Source organism: Homo sapiens, chromosome 7 (genome assembly GCF_000001405.40).
Source record: "Homo sapiens chromosome 7, GRCh38.p14 Primary Assembly".
Classification (NCBI taxonomy): Eukaryota; Metazoa; Chordata; class Mammalia; order Primates; family Hominidae; genus Homo; species Homo sapiens.
The window spans coordinates 137,687,659-137,711,088 of record NC_000007.14 but is presented as its reverse complement, the minus strand read 5'-3'; the positions used below and the strand labels follow the sequence as shown (position 1 = coordinate 137,711,088).

Sequence of the window (23,430 nt, the reverse complement as noted above, 5' to 3'; positions counted from 1 at the left end):
TCTGTTTAGTTTAAAGTGGTAGAGGAATGATGAGGAGGAAAGAAGAAAAGGGGGAGGAGGAGGACGGGGATGAATTTCCAGTTATCTGATGGATCTGAACATGTTTTTCTTTTTTTACTGTTAATATTTGGTTTCTCCTTTTGTAAACTACCTGTTCAAATCTTTGGTTCACTTTTTGGGGGAGGATGTTTATCTTTTTCTTATTAGTATCTATTAGTTGTAGAAAACATCTTTTATTTTGTGGCTAATCTTTTTACCTTCTTCATGGTGTTTTTGATGAACAGAATTATTTAATTCAATTGAATTTATAAATATTTTCCTTCTAGGATTTCTAGATTTTTGTGTGTGTGTGTTCTATTTATTAAATACTTCTGTTCACTTTGATTTTAAAAAGATACTTTCCTGTATTATCTTCTAAAACTTACATAGTTTTGTATTTCACATTTCCATTTTTAATCTACCTGGGATCAAATGTATATATGCTTCGAGGTATAAATACAATTTTATTTAATTTTTCTATAAGGATAAGCAATTATTGTGGGAACATTTGTTGTAAAGTGTATCTTTTCTCATTATTCTGTAATGCCAGTTCTGTCATAAATCAAGTTTCTATGTATTTTTTGGTCTGTTTCTGACTGTCTTTGTTTCATTGGTCAGTTTGTTTATTTCTGTCTTAATACCACACTGTATTAATTGTTAATGGATTATAACAGGTCTTGATATCTGCTAATGCCTTCCCTACTTCCAAATCTTTTTCCTAGGGAGTCTTAACTCCTTTTGTTCTTTGTTCTTCCTTATAAATTTTAGAATTAGCTTGTCAAGTTCCCTCAAAAGCCTGTGGGACTTTTGATTGAAATTGTATGGATCCATAAATCATTCAGGGAGAATTGACATCTTCAAAATATTGAGTCTTCCATGGTATGAACACAGCTTTCCTTTTGTTTGGGTTTTAATGACTTTCTAATATGTCTTTAAATATTGTCTGTACCCAATTCTCTCTTCAATTCTCTCTGTTCTTTTTTTGAATCTCTAATAAACATGTTAGATTTACCTTTTTTCTCTTCTCTATGTCTCTTAATGCTTTAATAATTTATTTAGATCTACATTTTAATTTACTATTTTTTCTGTTTCTGTCTGCTATTATAACCCATTTATTAATTTTAATCATGATTGTCCTTATTAAAATTTATTTTTGTTCTTTTTAAAGTATTTATTCATTTGTTTATGGTCTCTTCTTTAGTCTTAGTTTTAACCCCATCTTTTATTTTTTAGCATTAATCATAATTATTTTATATTCTATTTATGATAATTTCAGTTTTCTGGAGTTTTTGCTGGCTTATACTCATTGATTCTTTTTCATTCTCCTGTGTTTGTGATTTTTGATGAGGATTTCATGTGTCTTGGTACTTTTTTGGAATTCTTTGAGACTTGGGTCTTCAGAGAGGATTTGATTTGCTTCTTGGACATGCAGGGAAATTTATGAAGCCATAAGTACTTTATACTAAGTATTTGGATTGCAGTCTGTTGGATAACCTAGAGAACGAAGGCATGTAAGGGCTAGTGTGTGGTCAGATATGTTGGAAAGATGTTTTTCCTTCCATCACTTAGTGCCAGTATTCAAGACGAACATTTTTCTTGTAGTCTTTAAGATGAGTGGAATCTTTCAGATTTAGTCTTTCATTTTTGCTGACATCACTTTAGACAATATGCCAGAAGTGTTTACATATAAATGTATGTATACTGTTGACTGTATGCTGACTGTATCCTCTCTCCTCTCCCTACACACGAAACTCTGTGACTCCCAGTACCCAGTGGCCCATAAGAGAAAGAGGCCCTGAAATTTAAGCTTCCTTAGTTTCATAATAAATCCATCTCTGCTTAAGAGTAGATGTTCATTATTTTATCATATCAAGTACACTGAAGCTTTAAAAACAAATATTTTTATTATATAAAGTAGTTTATAGTCTCATATTTCCTGTAAAATGTAGTCTTCTCTTTTACAGTTGAGGAAAAGAAGGGTTGGAGCAGCGAAGTGACCTGCCCAGAGTCATAAAGTTAATGCGTTGAATCTGGTTTTCTGTCCAGTCCACTTTCCACTTTACAATGCCAGTAGTTCTCTATTTAGTTATAATAGATGCCTTTTTCAAAACCTTTACTGTGTTTTAGGAAAAAGGTACCTTTAATATGCTTACTGAATTGCATCTTCATGGCTTCTACTCGAGGTCACTTCAAATCCTGTTTCTGTCACCTCCTCTTAGTAGCCTTTCCCTATCAACATCATTCCCATTTTCTACCACTTATTCCCATCATTCCATTCATAGCAGATCTATATCTATTAGCAATAATTCATGCATTTGCTTACTTATGTATTGTCTGGTTTTTCCCCTGAGATCATAAGCTAAGCAAGAAGAGGGACCATGTGTATTTTGTTTACTTCCATACAAACAGCAATTACTTTGAGCCTAGAACATAGTAGAAGCTGAATAAAAATATTGAATGTCTAAAAGTCTGATTCTAAAACCCATTTCTTTTTGCTAAATATATTTATTGAATCGGATGTTTCCTGTTATCTTAGAATTACAACCAAGTTCCAAAGCTGAACTAAGTATCCTACATTCTAAGTTTTGAGAGCTGCCAGTGGTTAAGGCCAGACATCTACTGGGAGGACTGAGATCAGAAAATTATTCCTCCAAAGCTGTCACTTCCACTCCTGTAAATTAATATAAAGCGAGAATGGGAGAGAAGATATTGCTTTTTTGGAGTACAATGTTAATAAAGCAAGTTTAATTGCTTCCTTTACTCTAAATCTGCCACTAAGAGTAGGGCGAGAGGCTCAAAGAGAATATTAATCCAAGTTATGGTTGTCTCAAAGAAGACACTACAGGTATTTTAATCTCCATTAGAACATATGCTTAGCCAGGCTTGGCGACCTGGCTATCTGGCAGAAGAGAAGAATCTGTAAAGAGACATCTTAGTGGGGTACTGCCAGGCAGGAATAGGCCACAAGTTGGGGTTTACTTCAAGTTCTGGTTCGCAGAAAGTTTGGAAGACTGATGCCATATCTGCTGTCAGGCTCAGATAATTGAAACCTTAGGGATAGGGGTCTAGTCTTGTTAGTATCCTCACAATTTGGGGAGATTTGGAGGCAAAAAACAAAACAAAACAAAATAATTCCCTGTGTATTAGAAGAATGGATCATGACGCTACCATCCTGGTATTAACTGGAAGATCTAACAAGATCTTGGTCAGGATGGTTGTATTAGTCTGTTCTCACTTTGCTATAAAAAAATACCTGAGACTGGGTAATTTATAAAGAAAAGAGGCTCAATTGATTCATGGTTCTGCAGGCTGTACAGGAAGTAAAGTGGCTTCTGCTTCTGAGGAGGCCTCAGGAAACTTATAATCATAGCAGAAGGTGAAGGGGAAACAGGCACATCTTATATGACCAGAGCAGGAGGAAGAAAAAGAGGGTGGAGAGGTGCTATGCACTTTTAAACAACCAGTTCTCACAAGAACTCACTGTCATGATGACAGCTCCAAGAGGGATAGTATTAACCCATGAGAAACCACCCCTGTGATCCAGTCACCTCCCACCAGGCCCCACCTCCAACATTGGGAATTACAGTTGAACATGAGATTTGGATATGAACACAGATCCAGACATATCAATGGTCAGTGCTGGGAGAGCTGTGTGGGTCAATGGAGCGCACTAAAGCTACCATCAGTCCAAGACAATAAGCTCAATGTGCCCTGATGGCTTGCCAAGGCCAGCGATGCTACCAACGTTATCCAATCAGTTGAGGACACTGCCTTTTCCTTCTCCTTCCTTCTTCCAAAATGCTAGAGGAATCCGCATAGGTGAATAGAGGTACTTACGATAAGCAGACCACCCCACTCCCTAATTCAAAGCCATTTGTACCACAGGTCTAAGGGAGGAGTGGTGGCATTTAGAATTAGAAATGAAAAATGAAATGAACAAGATCAAAATGAACAAGATTGACCAGCGGAAATCAAATGAGACTGTTAGGGGAGACTGTTAGGAAGGATAGATTTAACATGTCACGACTGGGGAAATAGCTGTTGGAAAATAAAGCTCTTTCTCATTCATAATCAGTGAAGTTGAGAGTCCACATTAAACTATTGAAATAGTTCCCTCTGGAAGGTCAATAACCTAGGACTGGTTCTTAGGAGAGAATTATTTAAAATAAGGGTGTTTCGGCGGGGTGTGGTGGCTCACGCCTGTAATCCCAGCACTATGGGAGGCCGAGGTGGGTGGATCACGAGGTCAGGAGATCGAGACCATTCTGGCTAACATGGTGAAACCCCGTCTCTACTAAAAATACAAAAAAGTAGCCAGGTATGGTGGCATGCGCCTGTAGTCCCAGCTCCTCAGGAGGCTGAGGCAGAAGAATCGCTTGAACCCGGGAGGCGGAGGTTGCAGTGATCCAAAATTGCACCATTGCACTCCAGCCTAGGCTACACAGCGAGACTGTGTCTCAAAAAAAAAAATAAAAATAAAAATAAAAAATAAAAAATAGATAAATAAAATGAAATAAAATGAAATAAAATAAAATGAAATAAAATAAAATAAAATAAAATAAAATAAAATAAGGATGTTTTGGTACTTCAGTATACCACCCAGTCTTTGATTTCCTCTTCAAGGTAAACACTGTGGTATAAGACCTAACATTTTGTTTTAACTGGAACTAAAGGCCAAACTTCATATTTTCCCTTGGTGGTCTGCATATTTCATCTGTGTAGCTATTTTAATGTACCTAGAGAACAAGGAAAAGGAAATACATCAAAAGTTACAGAAAAGAGGAGACCCCAGTGGTTTGTATCTTTGGGTAAAAAGGCCCTGTAAGGGGGCATTGATAAATTGTGGTATAAACAAACCTTGATCCTGGCAATATAGTAGCCAGGATCTTTAAAAAAGATAAATATTTAAATATTTATCTTTAAATTATCCTTTAAATTATCTTTAAAAAAGATAAATATTTCTGAATATTTGCTAATCTGGGTGGTGATTCCACTATTAAAATTAGCATAGACCTGAGTTTTAATAGACTAGCATGCTTGGTGCCTAGTAGGAATGCAATAAAAATTAGCTTAAAAAGATGAGTTTCCAAATGATTGTTTTGTGGGCTCATAAATAAAGATGCTTTTAAGTGTTTTATTGTTTTCCTCCTGACCCTCTCTCAGGGTTATATCTTTACTGCATGTTCCATATTTAATTTCATGATCACATTGAATATCAGAGAAATAAGAAACAAGTTATGTTCATGGATACTGACCTCCATTGTTTAATAATAATAGCTATCATTTCAATAAATATTTATTATTTGTCTATTAATTTACATGCCTTTTTCTTTTTTGTAATTTTTATTAAGGTATATTTAAATGCAAGTTATGAGTTTTGCAAATGTGTACAGTTGTATAATCTATATATTTATTAAGATATCAAACATTTGCATCACTCCAGAGAGTTAACTTGTGTGCCTTCCCAATCAGCCATCTCCCCTCCACTCAGCAACCACTGTTCTGATTTCTACTGCAATAGGTTAGTTTTTCCTGTTCTATAACTTTATGTATAATACATATACAATATGTTCTTTCTGTGTCCCATTTTTTTTCACTCAGAATAACGTTTCTGAGATTCATTCATGTTGTTGGAAGTATCTGTAGTTCATTCTTTTTTATTCCTGAGTAGTATTTCACTTTATAAATATACCATAGTTTCTTTAATCCATTCTCCTATTGCTGGACAGTTGAATTGTTTTCTTTTTCTTTACTAATATGAATAAAGCTGCTATGAATATTTATATATAATTTTTTATATCTAGGAGTGAAATTTCTGGGTCATATTGCATATTTATGTTTAAGTGCATTAAAAACTGTCTAATAGTTGTCAAAGTGATTTACTATTTTATTCTTCCAGCAACAATATATGAGAGTTCTTGTTGTTCCACATTCTTGCCAACATTTAGTGTTCTCTGTCTTTTTATTTTAGTGAAATGAAATCACATTTCATTTTGGATTTACTTTACATTACCCAGATAGCTAAAGTATTGAGCATTTTTTTCTGGGCTTATTGGGCATATTTATCTTTCTTTTGTGAAGCATCCACATAGAATTTCTTTCTTCATTTTTGATTGATAGTCATGCTGGATATAAAATTCTTGGTTGACAGTTACTGTTTTTATTTCCTTTCAGCACATATAACATATCGTCTCACTGCCTTCTTTCTGGTCTCCATATTTTCTGAAGAAACCATCCATTAGTATGAAGGATGCCTTGCATGTGATGATTTATTTTCCTCTAGCTGCTTTCAAGATACTCTCTTTATCTTTTACTTTTGACATTTTGACTATGATGTTTCTAGATGTGAAGGTCTTTGAGTTTATCTTAGAGTTTATTGAGCCTGTTGAATGTATAGATTAATATTTTTCTTCCCCCTCAAGATTGGGAATTTTCTGTCATTTCTTTAAATATTCTTTTTGCCCCCTTTTCTCTTCCTTTTTCTTCTGGAATATCTATTATGAATATGCTGGTATGCTTGACGGTCTGCCACAGGTCTCTGAAGATCTGTTTTTTTCTTCATCCCCTTTTTTTTCCTGTCTCTCTAATTGAACAATTACAATTCACCTATCTTCAAGCTCACTGATTCCTTCAACTATCAGCTTCAATCTGCTGTCCAGCACCTGTAGTGAATTTTTACTTCAGTTTTGATATTTTTAACTTCAGAATTTCTATTTGGCTCCTTTTCAATATTGTCTGTCTCTTTATTGATATTCTCTATTTGATAAGACATTGCTCTCATAGTATCCTTTAGCTCCTTAGACATGGTTTATTTTAATTATTTAAATATTTTTAATATAGGTGCTGTTATTTATTTATTTCCCCAGGCTGGAGTGCAGTGGCACAATCTTGGCTCACTGCAACCTCCGCCTGCTGGGTTCAAGTGATTCTCCTGCCTCAGCCTCCTGAGTAGCTGGAACTGCAGGTATGTGCTGCCACACTCAGCTAATTTTTGTACTTTTAGTAGAGACGGGGTTTCAACATGTTGGCCAGGCTGGTCACAAACTCCTGACCTCAAATGATCTGCCTGCCTTAGCCTCCCAAAGTGCTGGGGTTACAGGTGTGAGCGACTGTGCCTGGCCTGCAATTTTTAAAAAATGTCTGATCTTCTCCAAAAAAATTTTTATTGACTTGCTCATTTCCTGTGTATGCGTGATACTTTCTTGTTTCTTTGCATATCTCATAAAATTTTATTTAAAACAGGACCTTTTAAATAATACAATGTGACAACTCTGGAAATCAGATCTTCTCTCACTTCTCTCCAGTGTTTGTTTATGTTGCTGATTGTAGTATTGTCATTGCTGCTTGTTTGTTGACTAATTCTGTAAAGTCTATTTTCTATGTTGTGTATGACTACTGAAGTCTCTGGTTAGCTTAGTGGCCATCTAATGATCTAATTATTGGACAGATACTTTCTTAAATACCTGAGTACAGTAAGTGTCCCCAATTTTTTCAAGTGGCTCTGTATGAATTGTGGGGCATGTCTTCAACACTCAGGAATGTGTAAGATGGTTTACAACTTTGCATTGGCCATCACTTCCTGTTTGTGTAATGCCTCCCTTTTAGCCAGAAGTGGGACATTAGGGCCTTCTCAGATTTTTCCTGAGCATGTGTACAGTCTTATACATGGTTTGGATTTGTGTCCCCACCCAAATCTCATGTCACATTGGAGGAGGGGCCTGGTGGAAGGTGATTGGATCACGTGGGTGGATTTCCTCTTTGCTGTTCTCGTGATAGTGAGTGAGTTCTCATGAGATCTGATGGTTTAAAAGTGTATGGCACTTCCCCCTTCTCCCTCTCTCTCCTGCTGCTATGTGAAGAAAGTGCTTGTTTTCCCTTCCGCCGTGATCGTAAGTTTCCGGAGACCTTCCAGTCATGCTTCCTGTTAAACCTGCAGAACTGTGAGTCAATTAAACCTCTTTTTTTTCATAAATTACCCACTCTCAGGTAGTTCTTTATAGCAGTGTGAGAACAGTCTTCCACCTGTGCATGGTCTTCTAAATTTTTAGGAATACGTTGAAGCTTTCTGAAACAACATATGTGTACAGCTTAATTCCAGTTTTTCCTTTTAAGATTTTTGCTTAGTTTCTTATTTGCCCCAGTTGTTATCATCATCTTAGGCCACTATGGTGTTAAAAATTCATAACTGATTGTTTTCAACAAATGCCGCTGGTGAAAGTGCTGAGTGGAGTCTGAGCCAGGTTGAAGAAAAACAAGCCATGGAATGGGGGTTTTCAGAGAATGTCAGACATGGCACATTACGACAGTTGTCTGAGCATAGTTTTTTGGGAAGCTCCAAATGTATTTTGCCCTTTCCAGTGGCTGCTAGGCTGCTGGTTTTTACTGGGATCAAGGAGCTGTTGGTTTTCAGTGCTACTATGGAGCTGAGAGATAAGGATGGGGATAGGGCAACTTAAAATGCCACAAAAATCACTGTTCTTATTGAGGTTTAGTTATTTTTCGTGACCAAATGCTTCTCAGATTGTTGCAGGATTTCTTGAAAAATAATCTCAAGAGTTCTGAGGAAAATGATTTTGCCCATTATTGCCGTTGTTTTTACTGCTTTTGTGGAGGAGCAGCTTTCCAGGGGTATGGCTCTGCTATTCCTGCTAGAAGCACAGAAATAGGAAGGAGGTGCTGAGTAAGTAGAAGTATTGCTTGACATGTCTTTTACTTCTTTTGATAAGTAGATGTTAATTTTGATGTAGTTGAATTCATGAATTTCTTCTTTTATGGTTAGAAGTTTCTGCATCCTATCTTGAAAAAAATCATTGCCAACTCCAAGGTCATTCAGTTTTTTAAAATGCTTTCTTTTAGAAGCTTTATAGTTTTAACTTTTAGGTTTCTATCTGTGATCCTTCTTGATGTATTATCTGTATAATGTGAGATAGGGTCAATATTATTTTTTCCCATGTGAATAACCTTTTTTTCCTAGCATCTTGTCTTGAAAAGACCTTCTCTCCATTGGATTGTTTCAATACCTCTGTTGAAGCTGTACATGTGGGGGTTATATTTGAATCTCTGTTCTTTTCAATTGATCAAATGTCAATTCTTTCTTTAATAGCACATGTTCTGGATTTCTATAGCTTTATAATACGTCTAGAAATTGGGTAGTGAAAGTCTTCCCTCCAACTTTTTCTTTTTTATCGAGGTTATTTGGCTATTTTATGTTTTTTTTATTGCTATATACATTTTTTAAATCACCTGGATTTGGATAGAGATTGTGTTGATTTTAAGTATCAGTTTGGGAAGTTTTGATATCTTAATGTTAGTAGTACTGATCTTTCAATACACAAATATGGTATGTTTATTTACATCTTTAATTTTTATCAGTGATGTTTTATAGTTTTCAGTGTAAGGTCTTACAAATATTTTATTGTATCTGTCCTTTAATAATGCATGTTTTTTAGTGCTATTGTTAACAGTATTTTTAAATTTTTATTTTTTAATTTGTGGTTGCATATATACAGAAATACAGTTGACTTTTGTATATAGTGTCTGTACACTATGACTCCAAACTTACTCATTCTGTAGAATGAGTTGATTTTTGCAGATTAGTTGGAATTTCAAGTAATCATGACATTTGCAAATGAAGATAATTTTACTTTTTCCTTCCCAATATGTATGCCTTTATTATTATTATTAACTTTATTTTCCCTCTCTTTTTACACTGGCTAGAACTTCCATTACAATGTTGAATAAAAGTGGTGAGGGCAGACTCCCAGATTTGTTTGAATGTTAGGGAGATGATACTCAGTTCTGTACCATTATGTATGATGTTACTTATAGATTTTTCATATGTATTCTTTATCAGACTGAGGACTTTTTTTTTCCTCATCAATTTTTTTTTTCTGCAAGTAGGCCTGCAGGATACATGTGAAGTATTAGAGTCTAGTTAATGATGAGTTAGTTGCTAGTGAGGTAGGGGAAATTAAAAGAACAAGTATATCTGCAGGCCGAACTGGATAGGATGAACAAAGGCCATATGATAGGAATATAGACAAGCTGGGCTGGATGAAGAAACCTGACTTCTCTTTGTGGCTCTGCCACCAACTTCCTATTAAACCTTAAAGAAGGCACTTTATTTTATTTATTTATTTATTTATTTATTTATTTATTTATTTATTTATTTGAGACGGAGCTTCGCTCTTGTCGCCCAGGCTGGAGTGCAGTGGCGCCATCTCAGCTCACTCCAACTTCTGCCTCCCAGGTTCAAGCAATTCTCCTGCCTCAGCCTCCCAAGTAGCTGGGATTATAGGCTCCCGCCACCATGCCTGGCTAGTTTTTGTATTTTTAGTAGAGAAGAGGTTTCACCATGTTGGCCAGGCTGGTCTCAAACTCCTGAACTCAGGTGATCCACCTGCCTTGGCCTCCCAAAGTGCTGGGATTACAGGCATAAGCCACTGCGCTCTGCCATGGCACTTTATTTTTTACCTAGCACTAAAAGATATAGCTGAGAGCCAGGTTGGTATCAGAAAGAATTTGGTAGAGTTGCAAAAGTGATTTTAAAATTTGAAAAATAAGAAATGTGAGAAGAGATTGATAAGGCTAGACTTCCTTTATCTGCTATGAAAAAGGCTGAGATTTAAATTTTTTGATACTACTTTCAGTTCACTGCACCAAGACAACCATTCATCTGTCTCTGGGTACCTTCACATCCCTTTTCTCCAAAACCACACGCCCTTGGTTTCTTTAGCTATATTGCAGGTCTTGAGATCAGGTAATGCTGTGTTCCCCAGCTCTACTTTTAAGTAATTATTTTGCTAAAGTATCTTCACCTGAATCATCTGGGATGACTTCTGTTTCCTTCCAGGACCTTCACCTCACTGATACAACTGGCACTGATACACCCTGGCAGTGTGTCTCCTCAACACATAGGTGTGCTCTGGGGTCTTTGTAGGCTTAACCATTGTGCCTAGGCCTGACATCGAAGTAGGTAGTTAGGTCTTTGCCTGTCACCACAGACATCCCATTATATCTATGGCACTCTGAATTACAGCTTAGGAAAATAATTTTAACTACTTTGAATGTCATTTGACTCCATTCCTTAGGGTCATGCAGGATTTTTTCATTTTTATGAGTCCCTTCTGAGAACACAGATAGCCTTATGAGGGACAGTTGCCTTCAGTTGACAGCCTTGTGTGGGGGTTGTCTAGTCAGCGATACCATCAGTTTTGCAAGACTGTGGTTGTGACAGTATAGGCGTCCAGGTGAAATTGAAGGGGGAAGGGACCAAGTGTGCTAGCATCGAAATGGGGAGTGGGATGCTAATGATACACTTTTCTTGTTGTCAGTTTTACTGGGAACAGCCCTGTGGAAATTTAAATCCTTTCCCCTAAAATTTCTTTGAAGTCCCAAAAGGCTTATGTTCTTAAGGTTATTTCTGTTCCCAGGCTAATGCTTTTCCTAAATTTGTTCAATTCTGGATTATCTTTTTATCTCAGTAGGCAAAATCTATTCTGTATTCATTGACCTGGATATAAAATTCAGCCCCTTCTCCAATTTCCATATTCATTAGACCTCACTGCCTTTAAGGCAAAAAGTAGACTTCCCTGAAGGTACAAGTCCAGGTGGGAAATATGGAGGAGACAAAGGAGGCATTTCCATGACAGTGTGCAACAACTTCCAATTGAGCATTAGACTGTGTTCTTAACATGCTCTTTATTTACCCCATACCAGGGCATTTGCCTGTATGTTTATGCCCCCTCTCAATCCTAAAATCCTAACCCCCAAGGTGATGGTATCAGGAAGTGGGGCCTTTTGAGAGGTGAATAGGTCATGAGGGTGGAGTCTGCATGAGTGGGATTAGTGTCCCTTTAAAAGAGACCTAAGCAAGCACATTTGCCTCTTCCTCCATGTGAAGATCCAGTGAAATGACACCTTCTATGACCAGGAAGTAGACCCTCACCGGACATTGAATCTGCTGGCACCTTGATCTTGGGTTCTCCAACCTCCAGAACTGTGAGAAATAAATGTCTGTTGTTCATAAGCCTCCCAGTTTATGGTGCTTTGTTAGAGCAGCCCAAACAGACTAAGATAGCATTTCATGGACAGCATTTAGTCCATTGCATGCCCTGGTATTATACCATCTTGTGGATCCTTCCCTTCCTTTCTATTGTGTGGCCCTTCTCTCTCCCTTCCTTTCAGAGCGAATACAGAGTGAGAGAGCCTTTGGAGCCAGACATCTGGGCTCCAGTCTTGGTTTTATCACTGATTCACTGTATGGCTTACCTAAATTACTTAAACTTTCTAATATCAATCGTCCCATTCATAAAATGGGCATAGCAAAACGATCCATTTCATAAACTTGCTATGCATATTTGAGGTGTGCTGTGGTTTGCTGCCCACAGGGCTTCTCAGAACCAAGGTACTCATTTCACCGCTGCTGGGAGTGTTGGCTGCTGCTGGTCCACATCTGAGCCCCTTCCGAGGTATTGTCTCTGACACAAGAAGATCTCTGCCATGGTTATACTCTCCCCAGGGGCTGCCTGTACTCAAAGACTGGTTGATGTAAAGTTTGAGAGTCTTGTTCTTTTACCTTAAATTGGGGCAATCCAGCTCCAGAACTTCTTGTGAGGCCAACTGAGGCTTCCGTTACAACTATCTCATAGTCCAGCTTCTCACTCTGCTAATCCTGCCTCCTTTAATCCCTGACAAGCATTCTTCAGTAAACCTCTTGAAAACTTCTGTCTGAGAGTCTGTTTCCAATCAGAAAGAAAGTGGGTAAAAGAATTTCCAATGCATACTGGGTACCCAAGAAATTATTATTATTGCTTTGAAGGTAAGATAATTTATTTCAAGGTATTTTCCAGGATATGGATCTATCTATATATCTATCTATCTGGAGATATATATATATATATATTTGGAGTTATATCTATATCTATATCTATATATATCTGGAGTTATATATATCTCTCTATATAGATATCTGTCTGGAGATATATATAGATATCTATATATATCTGTATCTATCTATCTGTCTGTTTATCTATCTATAGCTATCTATCTGGAGATCTGGAGAGATATCTATATATATATAGCTATCTCCAGATAGATAGATAGATAGCTATATATACATATAGATATAGATATATAAAGCTACATAAGGAATTCTAATTAATAGTTTGAACCATGAGTAGTGAGAATAAAATTATTCTAAATTTTGACAAGGGAAATTGTTATTGTTTTATTTTTTAAGATGTTATTTTACTGGAGCATATTCTAATTAGTCTCCTCCAATAAAAGCAGAATCTTTTTATTTAGTAATTGACTCTCATCTGATACTCTTGGGTACTATAATTTTGTTGTTTCTGTATATTTGAGTATTATCAATAATCCAAAACTGATAGAGGTGCTGATAGTTTATATTTCTGGAAGGCTAGAAGATAACCTGTGAAAAGCTGATGTTTTATGATTTTATAGACCGAAAGAGAAGTTAATGCCACAGAGGTTAAGATCTTATTCACTGATAGAGTGTAAACTACTCTTATATCTAATTTAGCAGTCTTTTTAGGCATTTCTTTCCCGACTTTTATCAATCTCAATTTCTTATTTATACTTTGACTTTGCATTTGTCTTCTCTACTTGTTACTTTACTAGTGAGTTAAATAAAACTTGGTCAGATGCTCACTACTATGTATAAGAGAATGATGTTTTTCATGGGAATGTGTTTCTGTTTAAGTATTATTAGTTTATAAAGGGTAGCATTATTATGGGAAGGCATCCAAGGTTTCATGGGGGCAACTGGAAAAGAGAAGTCAGCATTTTGAAGTTAGCCAAACCCTATCATGCTAAATTCAAACTTTGGGTGTGGTTTTGAAGTATGTGTATTTGCTAGGGTTGCCATAACAAAGTACCACACATTGAGTGGTTTAAACAACCAAAATGTATTGTCTCACAGTTCTGGAGGCTGAAAGTCTATGATCAAAATGTCGGCAGGGTTGGTTCTCTCTGAGGGCTGTGAGGGAGAATCTCTCCCCTAGCTGCTGGTGGTTGCTGGCAATCTTCAGTGTTCCTTGGCTCATAGAACCATCACCCAGATCTCTGCCTTCATCTTCACATGGCTTTCTCCCTATGTGTGTGTCTGGGTCCAAATCTCCCCTTTTTATAAAGACACAGTCATATTAGGTTAGGGGCCTGTCCTAATGACCTCAGCTTAACTTGATGACCTCTGTAAAGACCCTATCTTAAAATACGGTTACCTTCTGAGGTACTAGGAATTGGGACTTCAACATGGGAACTTTGGGGTGACACAGTTCAGCCCATAACAGCATGATTATTTTTTCTCCATTCTCAAGGATTACTTTTTCCCTCAAGTGATACCATAAGGAGAAGAATGTCATTAACTCTGGAGAGAATCTCAGTGAAGTCATCTTACCATGTTTTAAAATGAGGTTTGTTGCCACATCCCACGCCAAGCCCGTACCAGTGTTGCCTTATGGATGTGGTTAGGAAAGTTACACTTGGGAATTAAATCCTGTCTGAGAAATGAGTTCACAAGTTCTCAGGGGCATTCAGCTGCCAGGCCATTTTTACACATTAAGCAAAAAAAAAAAAAAAAAAAAAAAAAAAAAAAAGTCTTTTGGGCATTGCATTTATTTACATGAATATAATAAATACTTCCAATGGCATTTGGATTGCACATTTGCATGTGTTTAATATGATGGTAAATCTGTCTGAGGAAAGTGTGCGGTGCTTTCTGATTTTGTATTAGGAAGATGGGTTAGGCAGGGAAGAAGAATGATTCCTTTGGCAACCGTGGAATTATTTACTGACTAGAAGAGGAAATCTTCTGTTTGAATAACCCCTTTGAACTGCCTGACACGTGGTGGAAGTTTGTCAAATGTTTGTTGAATGAACAGAAGTGTCCAGGGAACTTAGACTGTTTTGAGAGCAATCAAAAAGCACATATTTATTCAGAGATTTACCATGTACCTAGCTTTGGCTGGTGCTGTGGGGGCCCGCTGATGTGTGTACGAACAATAATAGCAGCAACTATCGATTGTGCTTACTCTGTGCCAAGCATCCTGCCCAATTTTTTTCCACTATTCTCTGAGTTAGGCGCTATTTTTATTTTACGTATAAGGAAACTGAGGCTAAAAGACATCAAGCTATCTGACTACATAACCATTAATTGGTAAGGTAAGGTGTGTGCTTAACTTCTGCACTCCAGTGCCTAGTAAACATGTCCTCTTGCTGGTAGAAGTTTGCATTCTTGTTCTAGAGACAGGAAATTTATAATTAAGGCAATTAGAGAAGTAGTATAGAAAAGGTGAATTTTATAGTACGTCTGGTTTGCTATGTATATGTGTACTGTCAGCATTTTATAAAAGTGTCAGGTTGTGAAATGGTTAAGTATATACCTTCTGGAGTTAGATGCCTCCATTCAAATCTTACTCGGACCTCTTCTTACCTGTGTGTTGTTAGACATGGAGCTTACGTGTTCTCCATAAGCTCCATGGAGAACATCTATTATAAAAAAATGGGAAATTTATTATGAAATAGGGATCATACCTTATTATTGTGAGGGATACGTAAAATATGTAAAAAGATTCAGTGCCTGGCAAAATGTATTTTCTGTTCAAATGTAAGCTTCTCAAAGGCAGCAGTGATTGGGGTCTGTTTTATTTGTTCTTGTAACCTACACATTTAGAACAGTGCTTGGCATAAAATAGACATTCGGTAAATACATTGTTGAATGGATATATTTCAATATGTAAAGGCCTGGGCTTAGTCACATTACAGACAATGAAGTAGTCAGATGTTTGCACATCTGTGTGGAACAGTGGTTCCTAGCCAGGATACACATTAGAAATACCTGGAGGGCTTTGAATGGACTCATTCTTAAACCCCATGGTAGGCAAAGGTTGAGTACCAATGTTGGAGAATCACTGTGAAGGTAACAAACGTAGAATAATAGTTGTATATTATGTTGAAGATTCAATACCAAAAGTGATTTTTTGAGTGACTCAATGGGATGAGTTTCTTAGGAAACAAAACACAACCTTTGGTTCAATAGTAATTACATCTTTCAACATTTCAATGTACATTAAAATAATCAAAAAGTACTTTGAGTTCATATATAATATGAAGTAGGATTTAGGCTCAAATAATTACGCACAGTTTGTTCCCTGACATAAATCAGAGGTGAAGTTTGTGCGGGGCTTGGGACAATTTTTTTATTGCGTGGACTATCCTTTACATTGTAGGCAGCTTGTCTAAGTCAGCCAAAAAGCACTGTGAGCTGCTTTGAAGACAAGCAAAGTTAGTGCCCATATGGTATAAGAAAAAAGACAACAACACACTAGGTGATTAAGAACTCTCTTGGGGAATCAAACCAAGACACTGAGTAACTTCTTAGACAGCTGGTTCCTTTTCTAGAACAACAGGATGAGTTCACCAGTCTCTAATGTGTCAATCTTTAGGAGGTGTTCTGGGTAAGAGACTTCCTGATTCTCTGGTGCTTTTCTGCTCTGCAAGAAGAATCCTGATTCTGTTCTCACGTGCAGCATCACCCAGAGAGGGAGCTGGCAAGATGAGGATAGATAGAAAACGGGAGCCACATAAACCTACAATCAGACTGAAACTGGAACCAGAGGAAATTGAGAGAAATTTGCAAAGTGGGTAATTAGAAAAGGGTATCTCTGGCTTATTTGCATGTTTTCCATAAATTTTTTTTTTTTTTTTTTGAGACGGAGTCTCGCTGTCGCCCAGGCTGGAGTGCAGTGGCACGATCTCCGCTCACTGCAGGCTCCGCCCCCTGGGGTTCATGCCATTCTCTTTCCTCAGCCTCCTAAGTAGCTGGGACTACAGGCGCCCGCCACCTCGCCCGGCTAATTTTTTGTATTTTTAGTAGAGATGGGGTTTCACCGTGTTAGCCAGGATGGTCTCAATCTCCTGACCTTGTGATCTGCCCGCCTCGGCCTCCCAAAGTGCTGGGATTACAGGCGTGAGCCACCGTGCCCGGCCTTCCATAAATTTTTAAATTTCTATTTATGAAGAGTATATGCCACATGTTTCATTAAACACATTGTAAAAATATTAACACTATCATATGCCCTTTACGAATGTGGCAAAGGGATTCCATTTTAATGTTGACCACACAAAGCCGTTTTGATGTTTCTTAGGCTTCTTAACACTGGATTCTACCTTATTTGCATTTATTTTTAAAGAGCTGCTATGAAGGATTTCTGACTCTCTCAGGCAAGAATATCACTGAAATGTAAGGCATGGGATATAATTCAAATCATCCTAATCAGATTTCTCAACCCTTGATCTAATCAGCAAGCTGTTTTTCTTAGCTTCTTGGTCAAGTTCATTCATTAACTCAGAAAGCATTTCTTGAATATAGACTGTGTCTACCCCAGGGCTGGAATGTAATTAAGATTAGTAGATGGATTGAGCCCTGTCCTTTAGGAGTTTATAGTCTTATTGAATGAAGTGAAGAAAATAATATGATGCTACTTAAAATGTATAATGGCTTTTATATTTTAAATATATTAGAGGTCTTTCAGGTAATTGATATTAACTGTGATGTTGTATTATTGAAACTGCATTATAGGATATTTTCTTTTCATATCTATTTCACAGTTAATATCACAGTTCTTTTCAAAGAAGCATTTGTGATTATAGCCATCTCCTATGAAGCGTTGTTGTGAAATTAATAGAAAGAATCATTGGCATTTCATGGTTTTGCTGACCGTGGGCTTGAGAGGATTCTGAGCAGAAGGAAAGAACAAGTTGAAACCCCATTGATTTTTTTTTAATAGGAGCAAATTGCAGCATAAAACTACTGCCCCCTCATCCCACTCCCAACCACACACCAAGTTCTACTAGACTCTTAAATTCGTCATCTACCAGCAAGATAAATTCAAATAGAAAAATAACTTTCGCTAACTTATATTTGAGGTCTGAGATATAATAAAACTATTTTCTTATTTTGGAAGAAAATGTGTATGCATGTATGAATTATTGGAGAAAAGGATTTTCTCCCATGGTTATTTAAAAGAATGGAAAGTTCTAATCAGAAGTTATTTCGTACACCCTGTTGTACCTAAATATATTTTTTCTATTTGTATGTCCTTTTGTGAGGGCAATTAGAGTTACAAACTGGCAGCCACTTTCATGTTTTTTACTTATTTTTTTCTCCTAATTAATGTTTATGTGTGTAGACATAAAACCAACCTTAAATTTGTATCCACAAAGAGAAATAAGTGATCAACAAAAAGGCCTTACTTGTTTCTATTCCCAGGCTAGAAAAGAGTGTGATTTGACTGTAATTTCTTTCAGGGTTAAATGTTTGTATGTCTCTTTATCATATAGCCACATTATCTTTCATAGACACACGTGGCTTGCATCCTTGAATCCTAATTTGATTATTTCAGCAATTGGCTCCTCCTGGCAGTCCTAATTAGGAAGAGTAACCGGGTTTTGGCGGTCAGAGTCTACAAGTTCTGATGAGTTAAACTCATTTGCCCTGTGGTTTCTACTGGTGCCTGACAGTAGCGTTTTGTTTCCTCTCTTAAAAAAATTTTTTTGTATCAAAACTGTCTGGGACAGTTAATGAAAAAATGAAAGATCTGTGTTTTTCTCATTAAACCAAGATTTAGAAATTCTTCAGCCATTCTAAGAGTTTGCACTTGGGTGTGGTTTGGTATTTTTTGTAAGGACACTTAATTTAGGTTGTGGTGACTGTTAAGGAATCAAATGTAGAACCTGTGTATTCTGACTCTTCAGAGATCTGATTTTCTTATGAGGAAAACTGTAGCTCAGAGTCCCCATACAGAGCCCTTCAAAGCCAGAGAAAATCCTAATAAAAATGCTAAAGAAGTTCCTTCAACATAGGTGGAGGAAAACTGTTTTGAGATGAAAGATCACTGTATAAGATTCTTCCACTGTTACTTTCTTATTGCTCGATGATATGGAATATGCTTTGGGGTGAGGGGCCAAAATTGATGTTGCTAATTATTTGCCTTGGTGAAAGTGAGGAACGAGAATATTGTGTCATCATTAAAGGCCTCCATCTTCATAATGACCCTTTCGGGGATTATATAAAGCAAGTAAATTGTCTGTTACCCAGTGGGAGCTTTTGAAAGTAGGCTACCAGCAAGCTCGATGTGATCGCTTCTAACTACTGAAGACCTACCCCCTATATCTGGGACTTCCTGTATAGGAATACAAGAGGCTTAAAAAAAAAAAAAAAAAAAAAAACCCAAAGGTCTAGACACTTGCTGAGCTCTCTGACATACTTGGTAATTGATTAATGGTTGCACAATCCTGGATTCTTACTGGCTTCTACTCAGTGTTTCCTCAGGCTTGGGGGCTACTGTTCATCTTGCTCAACTTTACAAATTATTTTTTGGAGGGAGTTTGCAGAGGTCGCTGAGCAGGATGAAAAGATTACCTGCCCTTCAGGGTTCAAGAAAGCTTTTAAATTCTGTTCCTATTCCTTCCCGTTTATATGGGGCAAGTTTCTTTTCCTTTGGGGACTCATTTGTGATGGGAGTCACCACAGATCTGGCCATCACTGCTTTCCTTTTCTCCATTCCACTGTCTGGAGCTTTGTTCCTCTGTGTAGTCCAAGGGGTTGAGAAGTCTGAGGATCTGGGCCTTTCTGGGGATCCAGGGTATCTGCAGGCCTCATCTCAGAGATGGCAGATTCTTACTGCAGTGTTCAGGTCATATGAGATTAGCTGAAGACAGCCAAATGAAGATAAAGTAAATAATGCAATTGCTGATGTTTTCTTTAGAGCTCCCCTTGATGGGCTTTGGAAAGTTGTGGTCCCAGCTGCTTAAATGTACATGCTCCCACAGAGCAAAGTCTAAGAACTTTAGTGCACAGAAGAGAACCTTAGGAGTGTGTGTAAATGCAGCTTCCTGTGCCTCACCCTCCAACTGATTCAGGACTCAGAGTTGCAGCATCACAAGACCCTCCTGATTCTATTTCAGGTACTTCTCAGACCACACTTAGATATTATTATAGGGGAAAAGCCCCTCTCCCTTCTAGGGAGTGACTTAGTTCAATCACAAATCAGCGCTCATGTTTAAGCTCTAGACCCTTGTGAGACATTTTTTGGGAGGCCATTCAGAAATTGAACTTCCACGGTTCCTGATGATCCCACAGATCTCCCTAGGTGATCTCTGCTTTTTTTTTCTTCTTCTTGCTGTTCTTATTCTCACCACTATGCTCTAACCGTTCTTCCCTTCCCTTTGCTCAGCAATGATCATATTTGCTTTGCTAAAGTAGCCCCTCTTGTTTCATTTCTTTGCAGACCAAGATCAGGGCTGACTATCTCAACCTCTCCCAATTCATACCCTCCTTTCTGACGTGAATTCTGTTATGTTCCACTCAACAAATCTAAAATCTAATTAGTGTTTTTAGGCTTTATCTTACTGTGGGTCTTGGTAAGTTATTGAATGTGCAATTTCTTGGCAGATGCAAAGCAGTCTTTTCCCATTTAGAACCTCAAACTCATGTAGTCCTCTGCAGGGGTAAGGAGGATAGGGAAAGGATGATATTCTCGAGAGGAAAGCAAAATAACAGTGAACTTTCAGCTGTAACCAGCTTGGAGAATGCTTTGCTGGAAAATGGAGGAATTTCAGTAGGAGACCTCATGAGCCCATTTTTCTTGCTTTTAGTCGCTGGCAATCTTAAAGTTGTTCAAGTATGGTGGCTGCCCAAACCCTAGGTCTTTTTCCATAAATGAAGAGTCAAGACCTTTGCTCTTTCCCTCTACTCTGAATAGAGGATTATATTTTAATTTTTGGTTCTGAAGCACTATTTCCCCACAGTGGTCCCCTTGACCTCCCTGTCTTTTGGGACCTGCCACCCTCTTTGGACACCATGCACTTTAGAGAGGTATATTCCAATACTTTGGTAAAGATTTTCAGATGTGGAAGAGGCTAACTCAGGCATTGTTTCTACCCCATGGGAAATTTTGAGCTCTGTATGAGATTCTGATGTTGGTTTTTCTTTGTTTTTGTTTTTGTTTTTCTTCTTGCTGCAGGAAAGCAATCTCCCGGGCAGGCCTCCAGCATCTGGCTCCTGCACATCCCCTCAGCCTTCCTGTGGCAAATGGTCCAGCCAAGGAGCCCAGAGCGACTTTGGACTGGAGTGTAGGTGTTGGCCTTTTCATTTAAACATCACTTCAGTGCATGTTTTGTGTCTCTCATTCTCAGGATTCCTCTAGTTACAAGGAAGACTTGCTTAATAATTTTCAACATTGCCTGCTGACCTGTCCTCAGATACCTTAGCTGTAGCTCCATTTTCAAACTCCTATGAACATCACTCCTTTATATGAAGTCAGATGTGTTCAAGACTAAGATAAAAGCTTCCTGAATCATTTGAAGTATTACTGCAGCTGTAAGATTAAAAAGTACCTCGTGCGCAGTCTTTATTGGTTTCTGCCAAGTTGACGATGAATTGAGCTTACCCTTAGTGCAACATCTCGCAATCTAAGTTTTGATTTCCTCAGCTTGAGCTGAGTTTTTCTGGGTGCTTTTTTTCCCAGAGGATTACAGGCACTTCATGTCATTCTATTGCTTTTCCTTCCTCCCTTAACCAAAGGCAGATGGGTCTGGCATCAGTAGGTTGGGTATATGAGCTGATGTTAACATTTTAACCATAACACACTCACAAAAACTATTAACTTGACTTGAAGATTATAGTCTGAAACTCTTTAGTTGATTAAACACATTTATTGAGAGTCTTCAGTGAGTCGAGTTCTTGGCCGAGTAACTGTTTCTAACTGTAGACCCAAAGGCTTTGTCCCTTCCTGAAGCAATATGAGGAAAAGGTATCAAGGGAGAGAAGGGCTTCCCTGAAGTTCTGCCAGCCTTCCCTGATGATGAACCTTGTTTAGCACTTTTAGTTGAGTCTGAATAGAAGGGATAATCCATGTTCTTTTTCTCCATATGAAAGAGAAAGGTGGGGTGGGGGAAAGGTAACCCATGCCATGATTTGATATCCTCTGTATTATAGCATTTCTTCCTCTCCTCTCAGCACACACTTATTAATATCCTTATTTTACATCTTGGATGCATACCAATGTAAATGCTGCCCACATTTATGAAGTGCCTGGCAAAAGACTGGATGTGCTTGAACTACAGCTTCTCCCTTGGTGGAGATATTGTTACCCTGAGAGTGTTCAGATGCTGCCTGAGCCTGTTGAATTGGTGTATAGAAAGAATATTCCTTTCCTGGAGTTTACTTCTTTATTCCAGGACAGCTATTTAATAAACTCTTAACCCACAATAGAGTATATTTGCACCAGTGTTTGCATAATTAAAAACAATTAAATGCATAAACATAAATAAAACCTAAGAGAGGTATGCATGGAGCAATGATGAGAGTGTATTATGTATCAAGGAACCGAAAGAGTTGGTTTGATATTCACGATGTTCCAAACAACCCTGTAGTCTGCAGCAGCAGGGCCTTCTTTGAGGTGAGACATTCCAGGGGTAGTTTAATCATTTAGAGGCGAACATTCATTAAATCCCTTCTCTGCCCTTTTGTGTGACATTAGGTAAGTCACTGATTTCTTTCAGCTTCAACGTCCTCATCTGTAGATGGGGATAATCATGGCCCTATTTCATGGACATTGTTAGGATCGAATGTGACAATAAGTGAAAAAGTTTTTTTTGTAAACTGTGCAGCCAGCAGATTTATTTGTTAAAGTAATTGATGAATTCATTAATTCATCAAACATTTGTTGAGTTCCTGCTTTGTACTAGAATCTATATTGGTTACTTGGGATTCTGAGGTGAAGAAGATACGGTTTCTGCCTTCAAGGGTCTTAGAATCCTGTGGGCAGAAAGGAAATCAACACGAAAATACAGGGAAATGAGGACGTCACTGGAATGCAACAAAAGGACATTCCATTCCCATTTGATGTTGGAAATAGTTATCAGAAAATGCTTTTTAAAAGAAGTGTCCTGCCTGAGCCAGAGCTTGGCACAAGGTATTATTTTCTGATTCCTATAGAGAGGTATGTACTCTAATATTTCATCAAAATGGTATTTTTGGCCAGTGGTGGGAGGCTGCAGTACAGAATGAGGGAAAAACAAATAGGAATGAAGGCTGGGTTTGTGCCTAGTGATCTTTTATCCCTCCCTCTTCTCCCCTTTTCTTTGATTTTAGGTACCCCATCTTGGAGGTCTGTTGAAAGTATGGCATGACACGAAACACTTAGCTGACATCTAACAATGGTGGGAAAACCGAAAGCCCTTCCTTGAGACAGTCCATCTGAGGGCTTAGAGATCTGATGTGTAAGGAGTTATGAGATGTTACTCTGGAAAAAAACCAACATCTTTGTGGGCTGATTTTGGTGTCAGCAAACAGAAAGCAAACCG

At 37.7% G+C, this 23,430-nt stretch overlaps 1 protein-coding gene across 9 annotated transcripts in view; it reads left to right on the top strand.

Moving 5' to 3' along the window:
- DGKI (diacylglycerol kinase iota) overlaps positions 1 to 23,430 on the top strand; it is a 465,938-nt gene that overhangs the window by 135,886 nt on the left and 306,622 nt on the right. For 8 of the 9 annotated variants that reach the window (XM_047421022.1, NM_001321708.2, XM_047421021.1 and 5 more), the window contains one exon: positions 21,087 to 21,195. The exons of the other annotated variant lie outside the window; for it this stretch is intronic. In XM_047421022.1, coding sequence (XP_047276978.1) covers positions 21,087 to 21,195 — 109 coding nt within the window. The remainder of the gene's footprint in view (positions 1 to 21,086; positions 21,196 to 23,430) is intronic. 9 annotated transcript variants of the gene reach the window in all.